At 35.9% G+C, this 18,847-nt stretch overlaps 1 protein-coding gene across 4 annotated transcripts in view; it reads right to left on the reverse strand.

The window, feature by feature from the left end:
- CNTN3 (contactin 3) overlaps nt 1-18,847 on the reverse strand; it is a 352,092-nt gene that overhangs the window by 206,497 nt on the left and 126,748 nt on the right. For all 4 annotated transcript variants that reach the window (NM_020872.3, NM_001393376.1, XM_011533768.3 and 1 more), the window contains one exon: nt 17,392-17,567. In NM_020872.3, the coding sequence (NP_065923.1) occupies nt 17,392-17,567 (176 nt within the window). The remainder of the gene's footprint in view (nt 1-17,391; nt 17,568-18,847) is intronic.

The raw sequence follows: 18,847 nt of genomic DNA on the forward strand, positions 1-18,847 counted from the left end.
AACAATTTAAATTTGTTTCATAGCATAAATTCTAATCTTAGAATCACAGAAGGGTAGAACAGAAGAGTATTTTAAATAATGTGACTGATCCTTCTTTACAAATAAAGAAACTGAGGCCCAGAGAGGACAAGAGGCTCCCATCTAGTAGTGGAGTCAGGACTACAACCCAGGTCTTCCAGGATTAATCTTGGGTTCCGTCCACGCTAAGCCACTGATGTGATTAGTAGAGTATGTCATTTTAACCCCGCTAGAAGACTCTCAAATTGAAGACAGCCCTTGTCAGTCTACTAAGTACAAAAAATTCCTAACAACTGACTCCAGAGATTTAAAGAGATGACTCAAAAACTCATCAGACCCACAGAATGGTGGGAAACATTTGCATGTATCTGACAAGGGACTTGTATTTAGAAGTCATAAAGAATTCCAACAACTCAATAATAAAAAGACAAATAACCCAATTTAAAAATGGGCAAAGGATCTAAATAGATATTTCTCAAAAGCAGGTATATAGTTGGCCAGTAAACACATGAAAACAAGCTCACATCGTTAGTCATCAGGGAGATGTAAATGAAAACCACAATACGATACCCCTTCGTACCCACTAGGATGGTTATAATAAAAAGACAAACAATAACAAATGTTGGCTAGAATGTGGAGGAGATGGAACCCTCAAATACTGCTGGTAGGAATGTAAATCGGTGCGGTGACTTTAGAAAACAGTCTGCCGTTTACTTAAAAACGTTAAATGTAGAGTTATCCTAAAACCTAGCAATCCCACTCTTAGGTATGTATATATCTAACAGTAATAAAAAAATATTCTGCATACAAACATGTAAACAAATGCTTACAGCAGCATTATTTATAGCAATGAAAAAGCAGAAACAACCCTAATAATCATCAACTAATAAATCGATAAACAGCATGTGATATAGCTAATCAGTGGAATATTATTCGGCAATAAACAGGAACGAAGTACTGACACATGCTACTATATGAAGAACCTTACAACAGTCATCAAAGAACACACAGTGCATGATTCCGTGTATATAAAATGTCCAGAATAGGCAAACCCATAATACAGAAAGTAGATTCCTGCTTTTTAGGGGCTGGAGTGGGGGGTTTTGGGGGAAATGGAGAGATGGCTAATGGGCATGGTTTCTTTGGGGTATGATAATAACTCTCTAAAATTAATGGTGGTGATGGCTGCACAACTCTGTGAATATACTAGAAACACGGAATTGTATACTCTAAACAGGGAATTACACGGTATGTAAATTATATCTCAAAAGCTGTTATTTAAAAATAGTATCTGAATCTGTCCTTCTCCATTCCAGCTCACCACATCCCCAGCTAGCAGCAGGACCATAGTCAGAACATACAGTGCCTGTGTAGGAATTATAAAAAGCTGCCTTCTCTGGGAAAGAGATAGAAAGTCACCTCTCCCTACATGCTGTCACAGTCAGACCTGGGCCCGGCTCCCTAAGTGAAGAAAAAAGCCTTGGGTGGATTTCATCCAGGAGCATTTGGGCAGAGTATGGCCCGGGCAAACATGAATGACAAGGCTGCCTGATTAACCACTCTATAACGAAACTAGGTGGAATAGAAACTTTTCAGGTTACTTGCAGAGGATGTCATTAAATCAATGTGTTTAATAACAAACTCATGATCTTTATAAACCAGTCTCAACTCCTCCTCCCTGTTACCCCTCTCAAAAAATATACTGGTCTTCCAATGTTGCTGTGAACTGCACTACTATCCATCCAACTCAATGAGAAAAATACTCCATGCCAAAACATATTCGGTTTTTTGTTGTTGTTGTTGTTGTTGTCTGAGATGGAGTCTTGCTCTGTTGCCCAAGCTAGAGTGCAGTGGTGTGATCTCGGCTCACTGCAACCTCCGCCTCCCGGGTTCAAGCGATTCTCCTGCCTCAGCCTCCCAAGCAGCTGAGACTACAGGCACGTGCCACCACGCCTAGCTAATTTTTGTATTTTTAGTAGAGATGGGGTTTCATCATGTTGGTCAGGATGGTCTTGATCTCTTGACATTGTGATCCGCCAGCCTCAGCGGGATCCCAAAGTGCTGGGATTACATGGACACAGGGAGGGGAACATCACACACCAGGGCCTGTGCAGGGTGGGAGGCTGGGGGAGAGATAACATTAGGAGAAATACCTAATGTAGGTGACAGGTTGATGGGTACAGCAAACCACCATGGCACGTGTATACCTATGTAACAATACTGCATGTTCTTCACAGGTAACCCAGAACTTAAAGTATAATAAAAAAAAAGAAAAATACTCCACATTCCCCACATGCCATCCATTACTGCATTTTATCATTTTTATCTCAAGATTTTAAAATCGATTTCTTCCTTAAAAATCATGAACTCTATAAACAAAAGTAACCATTTCCTAGTTTTCTATTCTCCTTGTTTGAATCCTTGATCCTCTCTAGCCTCACTGCCACAGAACACCTAGCGTTATCTTATACATCAAAATATGCCACTGTTTATGGGCCTCTAAAGTGCTTGGAATATGATGGTTTACATAAACTTGAACTGTCTAGGCTGTGACCACTTCTGCCAACTCATCTCATGTCATTCTCTGACTTGTTGGCTACACTGAAATACATGTGATTCAAGTCTAGAACATTCTGGGCTCTTTTTCACTTCTGCCTTTAAGGTGGAAGAATGGAGATTGAATTTCAGTTACCGAAGATGGATCGTGGGGAAATGGAAAGCTAGTGTTTTCCTTTATAGTTATCTGTCCCAGTTTGTATGTATTTGTGCATTAATCTGATGGCATTCTATTCCCAACTAGACCATAAGTTCCATGAAAACAAGGACGTTCCTAAATGCTCAGCCTTTTGTGAAGAGTCCGACACACAGAAAAGGCTCAATTCCTGCTCACTGAATAAATGAATGAACTCAAACTTTGAAGTCTCTCTCATGTTTTTTGGTTGTTCATGCTATCATTATAACTCCACAGTGAAAATCCTTTCTTTATGTCTGGTGGCTATGCTACTATGATTAGGCCACTTGTTCAATTACGAACATTCTATGCTCATATAATGAAGATCTCAGTGATGAAGATTCCAAATTCAACTCAACCTCAGTGGTTCAAATAATGCACTACTCTCCCATATTCCAACACAACAGAGTGTCCAACAGATGGAAACTCATCTCAATATGCTTTTAGGAGAAAATTGATTAGGAAACATTCTAGTTAATTTGAGCATACTTTGCCCTCTCTGTACCAATCATTCACATATATGCACCTTAAAAACCTAAGAATAGGTAGGTAAACATAGCAAGTCCAGTGAAAATTTAGATTAAGTTACCTGTCAATGGAATCGTCTCAGCTAACTATTCCCCCCAATAATGTAGAGCCTGAAATAATACTGTGAGACCATGGATATCCTAAGATATCTTCAGTTATTGTACAAACTAAAAGATTTTATGATTCAAAAGGCAAATAACAAATATGTTTCATTTATATGGAAAGACATAAAATACACAGGCTGAGAAGTTAGTGATAAAATGTTAATCTCAACGGAAACTTGGTTTTAAAAAGTCACAACTTTCTAATGAGACCAGGTTGAAAAGCATTGTGCTTGACTAAAAAGCTTTGTTTTGTTTTAAGTTCATATACTGTGAATGGCATACTGAGTTGTAGCATTTGGCTTTAAATTTAACTTGGTTTTAGACCATCACAGCAAAGCAGCTTTGGATGTGATCAAAGTCACTTCTGTTCAAAGATGAAATTTGCATTTTTAGCCACACTAGTTAGTTATGAGAAATAACACAGCCTATAACTCAGAGAAAATTAGGCTTCTACGGATTTTAACACAACCATTTTAGCTAATTGTCGGTAATTTTTATTTTCAGATATAGCCAGCCACTCTGGGATTCATCCTTAAAACTGTTTGCATTTGTTTAATCTTTCTTCAAACTTCTCTTTCCATGTCTAAATGTGCTTCTAAATATTATAATCTATAATAATTAAAAAATTAAAAAAATATAATCTAAGAAAAGTGAATAATGTGCTACCCTCTACTGATAGGAGCAATGTGGTCAATTTCTGCTTTCTATAAAAAGATTGCAAAATAAACAGAAAAGCGAAAAAAAAAAACAGGGAAAGAAAAGGCAAAAATAAACCAATTCCAGACTGATTAGATGCTATCTTATATATCTGGTTATGTGAGGGGGTAGACTCCTTCGTAATCTAATAAAATCCTTTTAATTTCATAGTATATCTGCTCTCAACTTCCAGGTCAGAGATCATTAACCAGTGACCCATGGGCTATATCTGGCCCTCAGACTTGTTTTGTTTTATGCTTACAGGATTGGCCTATTTAGTGCTTTTATAAAATTTAAATTTAGTCCCCAACATTTAAAATGTCAAGACAATTCAAGTAAAGAACAGATTCTGCTTTATTTTGAAAAGAGATTAGCTTTGGTAATACGGTCCTGCATTTGCTCATTCATCATTTCATTTATTGAACAAATATTGAATGAGCATCTACTACATTCCAGGAAAACTGCCAGTTTGTAGGAATGTACCAGTGAACAACATAGTCTTTTAATCTTTAAGAGAGACAAAAATAAACAAATAGAAAAGATGTAAAATGTCAGGTAATCAAAACTGTGGTGAAAATACAGAGGGTAGAAAGCAATTTTTAGGAAATGATACTGAAGCAGTGACCTGATGATGGAGCAAACTGTACAGACCCGGGGGAAGGGTCTGGGTGAAAACATTCACAGCACCTAAAAGTAAGGCAAGATAAGTGTGAGAGAAGTGCAGGGAAGAGGAAGGAGATCACATACGGGAACCAGGACAGAGCCCTTGGAACAAAGGTAATGAGTAAAATTTATCTTAGTCTCTATGAGAAACCATTGGAGGTTTTGTCCAGGGAGGTATCGATATGTTCAGCATGAAATTATAGGAAACATTCTAGTTGTTGGATGGAGATGAGGAAATTACAGCAGTGGGGCAGTACTAGAAAGAGTGATAGTTACAGGATATGTCAGAAGCTATTGCCACGGGGGAGGTGAGAGGCGAGCTGACTCTCATTCACAGGTGGTACTGGTGGGAAGAGTGAGCAGTGGCCAGATTCTGGGTATATTTTGAAGATAAATGCAATCAGATTTATTGCTAAATAGATGTGGAATACGAGAGAGACAGAGCTGAAACATGGCTCTCAGTTTGGATCTGAACAACACAACAAATGTGCCCTCTTACCAAGGTGGAGAACATCAGAAAAGACCAAGTTTATGGGCAAAATCAAAATTATGGTTTGAAAACATAAGCTTGAGATGTCTACTGATACCCAGAGATGTGGACACTGGAGTTCAGGGCAGAGGTCAAGCTGGGAAATATAAATTTAGGAGTAATAAAATGACTCAAAATGGGGAGCTGAGTAGTGATAGTCCCTTTTATTATTATTTTTGACAGCAAGTCTCGCTCAGTCACTCAGGTTGGAGTGCAGTGGTACGAACTCAGCTCACTGCAACCTCCATCTCCCAAGTTCAAGTGATTTTCCTCCCTCAGCCTCCCAAGTAGCTGGGACTACCAGCATAAGCCACCGTGCCCAACTGAGAGTCCCCTTTAGAAAGAGCAAGCTGATTCAGTTTGGATGTGTGTCCTTCCCCAAATCTCATATTGAAATGCAACGCCAAGTGTTGGAGGTGGGGCCTGGTGGGAGGTGATTAGATCATGGGGGTGGTTTCTCAGAAATGGCTTAGGATCATCCCTCTTGGTATTGTCCTTGAGACAGTGAGTGAGTTTTGCTGAGAGATCTTAAAAGTGTGTGGTTCCTCCCCACCGTTCTCTTGCTCCTGCTCTGGCAATGTGACATGCCTGCTCCCTCTTCGCCTTCTGCCATGATTCTAAGTATCCTGAGATCTCCCCAGAAGCCCAGCCATGTAAGCAGATGCCAGCATCATACTTCCTGTACAGCCTGCAGAACCATAAGCCAATCAGAACTTTTTTACTTATAAATTACCCAGTCTCAGGTATTTCTTTATAGCAATGTGAGAACAGACTAATACATGTGCCTTCTCTGGTCCATCCCAGACCCTAATACTCCTTATTGCTTAAACAAAACCTGCTTCACTCACTAACATTATTTTCCTAAGCAACAGAACTGAATAAAAAATAAAAAGGAGTTCAAGAAAACGTAGAATTCTAGTTCCACAAATAGCACAGCAATGTTGGTTAAAATACAACAAAATTAAATCAAATGCATATCTAAGCAAAAATAGAAAGCCACAAAGCAGACTTATAAATTCTACAGCTTACACCGTGGTTGCTGGAACAGTGTAATTAGGGCATGGAGGATGACAGGATTAGTTTGGTAACCTGGTAGCTTAGGTTCAGTTGCCCATGTGGAAAGAAGAGATGAGATCTTAACGCTAGGGAATTGCCATTTAGAAATAAGACGTTTTGCACACATCCTGCATCGCTGCAAGGCTGTACTTATGGGGAAAGGACTAGAAAATTAATTTGTTCATCTCTTTCTCATTGAAGTTGGTGTAATATAGATAGAAGGAACGGTGGAAATGAGTATTATTTCAACCAAAAATTCGATCTGCTGGGCCTATACCTCACATGGTTTGGGGTTTCATATTTATGTAATATACAGTCAATTTTTCTTCTTCATGGATTTCATACTTGAAAATGCACCAACTCACTAAAATTTATTTGTGACCCCAAAATCAGTATGTGCAGTACTTTCAAGGTCATTCACAGGTACGTGCAGAGTGGTGAAACAGTGGGGTTTCCTCATATGCACATTCCCAGCCGAAGCTGACCAAAGTGACATTCTGCCTTCTTGTTTCAGCTCTCATTATAAACAAATATCCTTTTCACCATACATTTTGTGCCACATTTTTCATATGTTTGCACTGTGTTTGGTGATCTTGCTGTTTAAAATGGCCCCCAGGTATAGTACTGAAATGCAGTCTAGTGTTTCCATGTGAAAGAAGTTTGTGACATGCCCTACGGAGAAAATATAGGTGTTAGCTAAGCTTCATTCAGGTATGAGTTATAGTGAGGTTGGCCATGAGTTCAATGTTAATGAAGCAACAATATATAAGGTGTCTTTAAAGAGAAACACACACAAAACAAGGTGAGGTATTATTTGATTGAGGAAAATGTTGAGAGGTGCACAGGAACCTAATCTTGTATTTCCCTTAGGAGCAATAGTTCAGTATTCATTAATTCAGTGTTAGCAGTGACTTTATAGAACCTAACTACCATGAGTAATGAACATTGACTATTTATGGTGGGCTACATCAAGCGAATATACTAACATAAGACAGTTCTCACTTTGGTATAGCCCTGAGGTTCCTGGCAGCAGCAATAACAGCTGCTAGGTAAGGACACTACTTAAACAGAGGCTAACAAGAATCAAATGTTTGTCCAGGTAGGTAGAAACTCTGCTAAAGATCAAATTCGCATCAAAAATTTAAAAAGACAAAAATATTCACTACAACAAGAGTCAGCAGATCAACAAATCGCAGGTTAGCATTTGCAATATTCTGATCTAACAAAACAACACTATGAATGAATACCTAAATACTTTAGAGTTAAACAAATAAAGTAACAAAGGAAAATGAGAGAGGGGTCAAATAATCAGAAAATAATGATACTCTGAATAAAGAACAGAAACACATGAAAAAGAATCAGATAGAATGTCTCGACATGGAAAATATATTCATTAAAATTAAAACCTCAAAGGGTAGCTTAATAACAAGGTAGGCAGAGATGACGGAAGAATTAATATAGTATAGGCTAGAGCTAAGCAGTTAACATGGAAGAACACAAAGAGATACAGAATGGAAAATATGAAAGAGAGGTAAAAAGAGATAGAATAGATAACGAGAAGATTCAAAATACACTCAAAAGGAAAACCAGGAGGAGTAAAGAATAGGCATGGGGGATAAGCAAAAGTGGAAGACACATATATGGCTGGGAATTTTCCAGAGTTTCCATAAGACATGCATCCCAAGAATTACTCTCCAGAATTGTATAAAAATGATAATCGCATGCATTATGTGCTAGACAGTGTTCCAGGTGCTTGACATATATTAGCTCACTTAATCCACACACCTACTGAGATAAATTTTATTATCCTGTCTGTACAGAAGAAGAACCTTAGAGGTTTAGAATCTGCCCAAAGTCACATGGCTGCTAAATGATGAACATAAGCTTCAGACCCAGAAAGTAAGCTACTGTGTCTGTGCCTTGAGCAATACACTTTACTAAAAAATTATTTTTTGGCAAATGAGGGCAAAATAAACACACTTTAAGACCAAAGAGGAAAAGAGATGAAAAATAAAACAGTACTGACCAGCAAGAGGGACTCAGTAAAAGGATTTCTAAAAGATACAGATCCTGACATCATGTTGAGTGAAGTAAGCCAGGCACAGAAAGACAAACACTGCATATTATTTGTGGGATCTAAAAATAAAAACTCATGGGCTTAAATAAGGATGGTTACTAGAGGCTGGGAAGGGTAGTGGGGGATTAGGGGTGGTTAGGGAGGTGGAGATGGTTAATGGGTAAAATAAAAAGAGTTAGACAGAATAAGATGTGCTAATTGCACATTTTAAAATAACTGAGAGTGTAATTGGATGGTTTATAACACGAAGGATAAATGCTGGGGTGGGGGAATACCCCATTCTCCATGATGTGATTATTACACATTGTATGTCTGTATCAAAATGTCTCATATACCCCATGAATATATACACCTACTATGTAGCCACAACAATTAAAAATTTAAAAAAATTAAAAAAAAACACAGATCTCAAAGAAGGAAATGCTTCCAGATGCAAGAATGGGTGCAAGGGAAACAGTAAACACAGGAGTAAAGCTAAACAAACATCAGTTATGTGAAATAACAATAAGGCTCTAAGGGAAACACAGAAGTCATTTCTCTCTTAGTCCTGAAATATTCCCAAACTAGGACTTACTAGTAGGTAAGAGATAGTCTATAAAGGCATAAACCCACAAAGACAGGACAATAGAAGAACAAAGTACAAATGTAAATGTTAGAAAACAGGTGTGATGATATTAAATGGTTTGGCATCATGGAGAAAGATGACTTTTAAGCTTTTAGTGAGCCAAGCATGGAAGTGATTGATGTGTGCGCAGAATCCTCAACGGCTTAGGACTGGGGGTAGCAGGCACATCTGGAAGAGGAAATGCAATATGACAATGGGAAGGTAAGAATTTGAAGCTGTGGTTAGGAATCCAGGTTCTCTGTCCCGTCCACATAGCCAGGTGAGTGCCCTCCCCCACACTAGAAGAGAAGAGGCTTATTCTCAAAAAAGGGTAAGGAGAGGCTGTCTGAACTGCAGGTGATGTTTTGTGGAGGGTCTTGTAAGGTATATTAAATGCATGTATGCACACTGGATTCTGCAATCCCCCAAGGCCTCTTTTCTACTTAGCTCCCAGGAGCCAGTGGAGGTTTCTGCCCTCAAGGAAGAAAACTGGATTTCTTTCCCCTCTGGGGAATCTGACTTTCTCAAAAAGAAAGAGGTAATAATGAGGTGAGCCCAGTGAGATGAGCGACACCATAGCGACCCTCCTGAAGACAAACTCTGCTCAGGCACATCTAAGTTTCCATTAGGTTTTTAGTTCCACACTCCTAAGTTTGTGCCAACAACCAAATATAACCAGATAGCTGCAAAAAGGTTTCCCACTTGAAAGAGAGAAACAAACCAACACAAAACTAAAATGAAACAACCTGGATAAAACAGTTCATATGAGGGAAGAAAACATAAAAGCAACTAACCATCATTTATATCTTGATGTGGATATGAGAAGCTATTACAACTATTACACTAGAATATGGTATAGAAAGGAAATTTCAAATATAAAAGTCTCTTAAATTGTAAAAAATATTATGATAGGTATTAAAAACTCAATAGAAGTGTTTAAAGAAAGGACTAAAGTAGTCTATCAAGAATAGAGATAAAAGTCAAAGAGAAGGAAATTTGAAGAGACTGTCTGGGGGAGGGAGGAAGGGTTGAGAGAAACAATCTATTCCAGGTGGTTCAAGATGCAAGTAATAATATGTGTGAAATAGGAAACAGAGAAAACTAAAGACAGGAAATCATAAAATCTCCCATAATTAAAGGACTCATGTTTTGAAACTACAAGGACCCACAGAGTAACCAAGATGTGAAATAAAATTCGACCCATAACAAATCAAGTCATTGTGGAATTTGGTTAGGTTGGTGCAAAAGTAACTGTGTTTTTTGCCATAATAGAAAACTAGGGGCAAAGAGAATACCTAGAAGCCTCCCTAGAGAAATACAGGCCTCTCTATACAAGATACCACAAATCAGAATGTCATCAGACTTCACAACAGCACAGCAAGCTAGTTAGCAAGGCGAAGTATCTTCAACATTCTGAAAGAAAAAGATTTGTAACATATTATTCATACTAAGTTAAGCTAAGTCTCTCGATTGAGTATGCCAGCATACTAATTTTTAGAACACATGTTCTAGAACAATAAAAAATATGATGCATCCTTTTTTAGGACATGGAGGACATGACACCCTAAAACAATGAACACCAAGAAAGACGAAGATGTGGAATGTGGGTGTTGGGGGGTGGACACAGCAGAGATTTGTAGGGGATCATTAGAGTGAGTGATGGTGAAGGGAGATCCCAGAAAGACAATTTTGTTCCTGATATACAGGAAAACCAATCCAACTGGAGCACTCTGATGGCTCTAGGATATAATTCTCCAAGAAGATAAAACTAACAGAATATCTGATTACATCTCAATACCTGAGAGGACATCCAAAAATTTGGCCAAAATTTTGGTTGACTTAAGTATAAGACTATAGAAAAATCAATAAGTAAAATAATGTAATAAGACTACTATTAGAAAAAGAAAAATCATGCATGAAAGGAAAAATATTCAGAATTATTGTTTGCTGCAAAACTCATCTCTGGATATCCTTTACAAAGTCATAGTGATGTAAACACTGAATATTGACCTAGCTGAAATTATGGCCCAATAAAATCCTATAATAACATGGCCTAAGCTGATGCTTATTCAAATATGAATCAACTGGAAACTGGTTCCAGTCCTCTACAGTATTCTTCCCATCTTCTAGTTTCAAACACAGGCAGGCCAAAATTTGTATCCTCTGTGAAGTTTTGGATGTGGGCTGGTTTGAGAAACTGTCTTGTGATCACTGGGGACTCTATCCAGTTGTGGCACATTCAGTGAAATGCAGTGTGCATTTGACTTTTTATCTTTACGTATTTTGTAAGAATTATGGCTTAAAATTTATGGATTTTGTAAGCCTCATAATAATGCAACATCATATTGCTGTGGTGGTAAGGTGGTGGTAGGAGAGTGTTGTAGCATCAGCTGGCATAGTTAACAGTCAACAGTAATACTTAAAACTGGAAAAAAAAATCAGTAAGCGGCAATATAGGCAAGTTATTCACACAAATTTAGATAAATACCAAAAGAGACAGTGAAAATGTTGAAAGCAGTTTCTTCTAAAAAGGAAAAATAGAGAAAATATGGACAAAAGCTTGATGTTTTCCTTAAAAATAAAAAAATATAGATGTTTGTACATGCTCACACTATTTCTGATCTAGAAGATAAACGAAACATTAGCACTAATGTCTAATTCACAGGGTTAAAAATTCAGCAAAAATATTCAGCAAAAATAGTATAGGGTTCTCTAGGTGGGCTATACTATTTAAAACATTATAATCCTCATTGTTGGAGATATTGATTAACTTTAGATTTTGTTAAACATAGATACTAAAATTTCTAGGGAAGTTACTATAAGAAAATAAGTAGGATGTATAACATCCAGTGCTTTTCAGGGAGAAAGTAGTTCAACCAATCCACGTGAAAGGAAGAAAGAAAAAAAAGAACATAAAAATCAGACCGTATTAATATAACAATATTAATATATTACCATATAAACTAGAAGGCAAAATGCTCTATTGAAGATAGTGTCACCACTTGTTGACAAAAAAATACAGTCACTCTAAATTTTTAGACACAAATAATTGACTAAATACATACAGTTTAAATAGAAATACCAGGAGAAACTAAAAAAGCCATCATCAATGTGAGAGAAAAATGATAGATTAGGCATCAGTAATGATATAGGTGATTTGAGCAACATAATTAACAAATTTAACCCAATGAACATATGGAGAACACCATACCCAGTATTTAGAGAATATCCATTTTTTTAAGGACATATGAATCATTTATTAAAAAAACTAATCATATGTTGGGCCACAGGAAAAATATCAACAATTTCCAAGAATTAATATCTTACAGTCCATTCTCTGGTCAATGGGATACTAGGTTAGAAATCAGTATCAAAAGATGACTAGTAAAACTCCACATGTTTGGAAATTTAAAATACATGTCACGTCTGATAACTCACAAATCAAAGAAAATCATAATGAAATTATAACATTTACTGAACTGAAACAGAACAAATTTGCTATATGTCTAATTCTTTGAATACAGCTAAAACTGTACTTTCAGGAAAATTTAAAACCATACAAATTTATATCAGAAGAGAATAAAGTATAGAAAAGAATAAGTTAACCATACAAGTTAAGTAATTTGAAAAGAACTATAAAAAATACAACAACTTTGGAAGAACAATAAAGATAAGAGAAAAATGAATGAAACAGAGTGTAGAAATTTGAAAGTGAGGAATAATAACATCAAATTCTAACAAATTATATTTTAAAAGTGTACCAAGATAATATTTATAAGAGAAAATTAAATATATGTCTAGATAAAGCAGAAATGAGAAAAATAATTTTAAAACTTTTGAAACATTTTTTACTAGTATATTAGAAAACATAAATGAAATGGATAAAATTCCTGGAAAAAATACAACTTATCACAAAGAAATAATACTCAATACATTCAATGAGTAGGTAAAACATTTCCTCAAAGAAAACTCCAAGCCTAAGTTACATACTTTTTTCAAGGAAATGATAATTCCAATATTTCTCGACATTTTCTAGTGAACAGAAAAAATAAGGAATAATCTCCAGGTCACTTTTAGAGGTGAAAATAACTTTGAAAGTAAAGCCAAAAAAGGATAGCCAGAAAAGGATAAATAGGCAAAAGTACTACAGAAAATATTAGCAAACAGCTAACATCCAAGTATTTTTTTAAAACTGCATAAACTCCAACTTGAAACTAACCCAGGAATAGAAGGTCACCTAATACTAGTAAATGTTCACCATATTAACATATTAAAGAAAGACGGCATCACTATCCCAGTAAAACTAAGAAGGGAATTTAAAATAATAAATCATTCATTATAAAAACTAAACTAGCTGATAAATATGTGATAAAGGGAATCTATAAAATCCAGGGTAAACATATCAGATGTATGGCCTTTTCACTTTCATTTTATCACAACCACTATTTTCAAGCCACTCGAACATTAAGATAGAATCTCTTTAGTTTTTCACTAGTGTTAAAAGTGGAGCATCAACCATATTTTCATTTACTCATTTACCCATGAAGGACACAGAAGTACTTTCTCCATAGCTGAGAGAAACAAAGAAGTTATGGCTAATCATATAAATATACAACATAGTCAAGAGAAGAGACACAGCTAAATTGAACAATTAGAGAGAACATTTTTCAATGACAGCACTTGAACATCCATTTGCCTGCAGCAAAGACAGTTAAGATTCCTCTGAAGTCATGAGCATCCTACTAATACAAGGGTCTCCATTCTAATCCCTTCTTTCAGTTAGCGTATAACTTTTTCTTCAAGGCTATGAAGTTAAAGCAATGCTCTACTGTAGCTAATAATTTGGAATTACTCATATAGTAATTATCTTCTACTTCTTTTCTCATCTTCTTTGGTTTTTTATCAGAAATCTATGTCCCAACCACATGAATATTAAACAACATTTTTTATCTTTCCAGTCCAATGTGGTGTCAGGTGAAGAATACCCAATGTTGCTTCTTGTAACTTCCAAATAAAACACTTAGAAAAACACCAAAAATGCAGAACAAAACAAAAAATATAATTTCACTGTACAGCAACACAGCTAAGCAATCAAATGTCAATATATAGGGAATAAATAAAACTTGTAAAGCAGAGGGGGACAGACTGGGGGGAAACCTAAGGTATTCAATGTTACATCTTAGGTTTGCTTTACGAAAGGGAGAATTATAATAAAGGTAGGAAAATAGTATGTACTTCACTCACCTTATGTATCCTCATATGGTGCACCCCAACTCAGAAACTCAAGGACAGTACCAAACAAAGAAAATGAATAATTTCTATTGGGAGAGGCAATCTTCCACGTGCTCTGGGCTCTCTTGCAAGTTTTTGCTGGGTGTGCCAAGAAGGAATGAATGGTCTAACTGCTCATTGCCATGCTCTCATCTCAGGGATGTGTTTGCAGAGAGCAACCTGGGGGGATAAGGTAATGTCTCCCTCTGGGACAAGGACCAGGCTTGCTTACTGTTTGCTGTAAAAGAGATGGATTATCTAAGCCCAGTGTTTCCCATAGATGGGTGCAGTATCTACCCTAACCTTTTTGCATTTCTCTGTGGGACTTGGAGTTAAGGGGAACTCAATCAAACATGCTGAACCTCATGATGCTTTATGTTCTAAGAATAATAAAGTCCTTAGTCACTGACCTGGGAGCCTCATGTCTTCTTCCAGCCTCCATGAAACAGTAAGACTAGCTTGTTAGCTCCTAAATAGATTAAAATCCCATCCCTCATTCAACAACTTCACCCCACTCTGCCCATATAAAGTGCTGGCCAAGAACTAGGGGCAGACTGCAAGAGGTGAAAGATAATTTTAGAGGTATTTTGTCATACATGTCGTATTCTTTTTTTCTCTTACAAGTCATACTTTTCAGGAGGGGCTGACTGAGGAAATACCTGTAAGTTTATTATATTTCTTCATATGTTATCAGGTATGAAATTAAGAATCCATAGTAGAAAAACATCACTAGAGGAATGTATGTATCACTTTATAAGAGGAATGACTCCTAGAAACAAGGAATTAGGCTGCGAATTGCTCATCTGCCACTCTTCACAGGGCAAAGACTGCAGGGCCTGGGTAGTCCACCAACACCATCTTGTAGACAAAGACTGAGTTTAGACAAGATTTGTTTTAGAACCTATTGAACATACTTAAGCATAAAAATAGAAACACCAAATGGAAGCGGTGGAGGAAACCCTGCCTCTAAGATCATAAATAGCATTTCAGAAAACTGACTGTATCTTCAAAAGAATACAAAAAGAATACAAAAATATGAATCAGGAACAGGAAGTCATAGGAAAGAACAGGCTGAGATGAAAAGAATTTCAAAGAATGGGACACAAAAAAAGAAATCCAATATAGATGATCATGCCATTTGAAAATATAAATTGAACATAAAACTAAAATATATAAAAGGAAACTCTCCTGAACTGTATACAAAATGTATAAGTACAAAAAAGGAATTTTTCAAGTTCTAAGCAAAGTAAATTAAAATAACCTAAACTTAGCTATATGCTGGAAATCTATATGTTTTAAACTAGAAAGATGAAGAAAAAATAATCCTCCAATATACAACCAAGCGAACCCCAAAATACAAGGGGTGGTGGTGAACTCCCCAAAACCAGAAATTAGCCTGGCCACCTTCCTCTCCTCAGCAGCACTAGTTCCAGAAGACAACAGAGCAAAACACTCGGAATTCTCTGTTAAACAGCTCCAAGACTCAACATTTATTATCAACCAAATGATGTCCTCACTTTCAAGGGAATATGATGACATTCCTTAAAATGAAAAAGCATGAAACATACTTGAATTTTTTAATGTAACATAGTAAATGTTACAAATATTTTAAAATTTATTGAGAAATTTTAAGAAATAAGAATATAAAAATAAGAAGAGGTCTAGTAGTTGGCAGTAATGCCAGGTAAAACATGGATACATCATAGATTTTGCCAAAATTCTAGTTAACAACTATATGCACATACACAATTATCTATGAGAAGACTATTACATATATATTTATACATATCCAAACATATATATATATTCCTATATACATTAAAATAACATAATTTAAATCAACCATGGAAATTGCACTAAACCTGCAAAATATAGCTCAAGAGGAAAAAGGAAACCAAACTCTTTGTTTAAAACAGAGAAACTCTGAAAAAATAAACTTAAATTCTGTCTATTAGAGAAATATATACAAAGTACTTTAGTTAACTTAAGGGTAACTAGTTGTATAATATAAACATCACATATAGCTTTCAAAATATGCAGAGAAGATACAAGTAAAAAATATTTTGCCTACAGAAAGAAATAAAGAGAAAACAAAGGAAAGAACAAAATAAATATGAAAAACAGAACACACAGAATATAATGGCACAAGCAAAGCCAACCCTTGCCATTGTTAAAATAGAAAGCAAAAGAATAGGCTAGACATTAAATGACCCATCATTAATTTAATAAAAAGTTTATGGGGAAAACAGAAAGAATACTACCTCATTATAAGAACACATGCATTGCAATTTCAGAATTATTGAGGTGTGAATAACTACAAGAAATCTCAGAACCAAGGTAATCATGATATGCATTATGTACAAAATACACAACTAAAATAAAGAGAGACTAATAAAAAGAAAAAAAAAAAAGAGAAAATAAGCAAAGATAAAAAATAAATTGAGCCTCTGGGTCCAAGTCCAAATTTCCTAGAGAAAGCATGTGACTTTCTCAGGTTGGGCTATGTGCCCACCTAGGTCCAAATAACATGGTACAAAATGGCTCCCAGAGCCCAGGCGTCAGTGGGAGCTGTGCTGAGGGTAATTTGTGAGGTCATCTGTGATAAGACCCCAGAGGAGTCAACAACATGTCACCACATATGGTAACTTCTTCTTGTTCTGACAGTCTTTCTTCCTTAATATTTTCAGGTTTGTCAGATGGAATTTTCTAAAAGTTCTTCAAAAGCAAGGACCATCTCTGACAATTCTTTCGCATTTTTTTCCACAGTAAAATGCACATAGTAGCTGCTCAATAAAAATATCCTCAACTGCATTCTTTTCTGTTCCCTAAACAGAATCCTTGTGAAATACTAAAATAGAGCACACACACACACACACACACACCCCTACATGCACACATGCACACCAGCATACACACAGACATACACACACACACACATTTAAAGCTCTGATTTGAACACTATAAAATGTCCAAAAATCATACTGAATTGCTTTCTCAGTCTATTTACTGAATTAATAAAACCCATGTATTATTTCTGAAATCCAAAACGACTACACAAATTAAGTTACATATTTTCTAATGTTGGATTTGCTAGACATGTGAACATAAACTTACAGGCAAACTGAAGTTTGGCTTCTCTGCTGACAATTGTTCCAAGTGAATTTGTTGCAAAACATTGGTAAGTTCCTGTATCCCAATTTCTGTTGGGATTAATAACCACAAGATTTCCTCCATTCAACTTATAACGATGTTCCATACTCATATCAATATCACTTCCATTCAGCTGCCATCTGTAAAACAAATATCAAGGTTCCCCCCCCTTAGTATTTTTAACTTAAAAGAAGGCTCTCCATTATAAAATCTACTTTAAACATTATCCCTCAAAAGTAAAAAGTGATACATATATTATTCAAGTGTTACATAACTGAAGATCAAATATGCCCAAGTATTTATCAGAAACGAAAAGTTAAAGCACAGTAGAAAGTATAACAGAGTAGCATCTAGCAGTTAAAGTTTTTAAAGGTTTCTTAGGAGGTGGGAATGATTTCATTTGTTCACTGGGGAAAAATTAGGCTAGGTCTGTATAGGCAAAGATGAAGTAGAAAGTTGAGATAATTATCTCAGATACTTTAGGCCAAGGTCCTGCTGACAATGAAGGAAGAAAACAGCACATTTCTTTGATTTATCCAGATTGACTGAGCACATTTAATAAATTAATTGGGTAAGTGCTCAACTATCCATTTCAATTTGTCTGGGTAAATACCTGTCCCCGAGGCATTCTCCACTTTTTTAAGCCATTACAGTGCTATTTACAAAATGGTACACTGTGGTAAATGACCATAAACACTACCTAGGGGGTCGGAAAAGGTAAAGGCACTAACCCCAGAGCCATATTTATCAACGAGAAGCCTAAAGATAAATGAAGAGAGAAGCTGGTTTTTAAATAAGAGGTTTTAAGCTGAAAGTTTTTAAACAGTAAGTATGCTTGACATATCACAGTACTTCACCTTTAAATACTCATTCATATCCCACAATCTCAAGAACACATTACCGTAAAAAACAGGGCACCCAGCTCCTAGATGACCCAATTTTTATAATAAAATTACACTGCCATCAGTTCTGTAAATTGTAGCATATTATAACAATGGTCATATCAATTATTTTTATAATAATTTGCCAAAAATGAAAACTATAATGCCCATTTTATAGATAATGATTTTAATAAAGCAACCATGTGAGTTGACAACTGTCCCCAAAACTATTAATTGGTGGGATCAGGAGTGGCACCTACTTGAATTCCAGCTCAGAGTTCTTCAATGATGTTATGGGCCATCTAAAAATTGTTGCTTTAATATATACAATATTTAACCTGCACATATGTTGAGAAAACATATAAAGAGATGAAATGTGAACATCATCTCAAATACAAGTGCATAAAGTTAAATGGAATATTACACAACTGTGAAAATGGGCCACTTTTATAAACATGGCTGACTCAAGCAATGGTGCATAAAAAGGTAAATTAAAAAATTCAGTTAGATACCATTTATGTGAAGTTTTAAAATACAGT

Source organism: Homo sapiens, chromosome 3 (assembly GCF_000001405.40).
Source record: "Homo sapiens chromosome 3, GRCh38.p14 Primary Assembly".
Taxonomy (NCBI): Eukaryota; Metazoa; Chordata; class Mammalia; order Primates; family Hominidae; genus Homo; species Homo sapiens.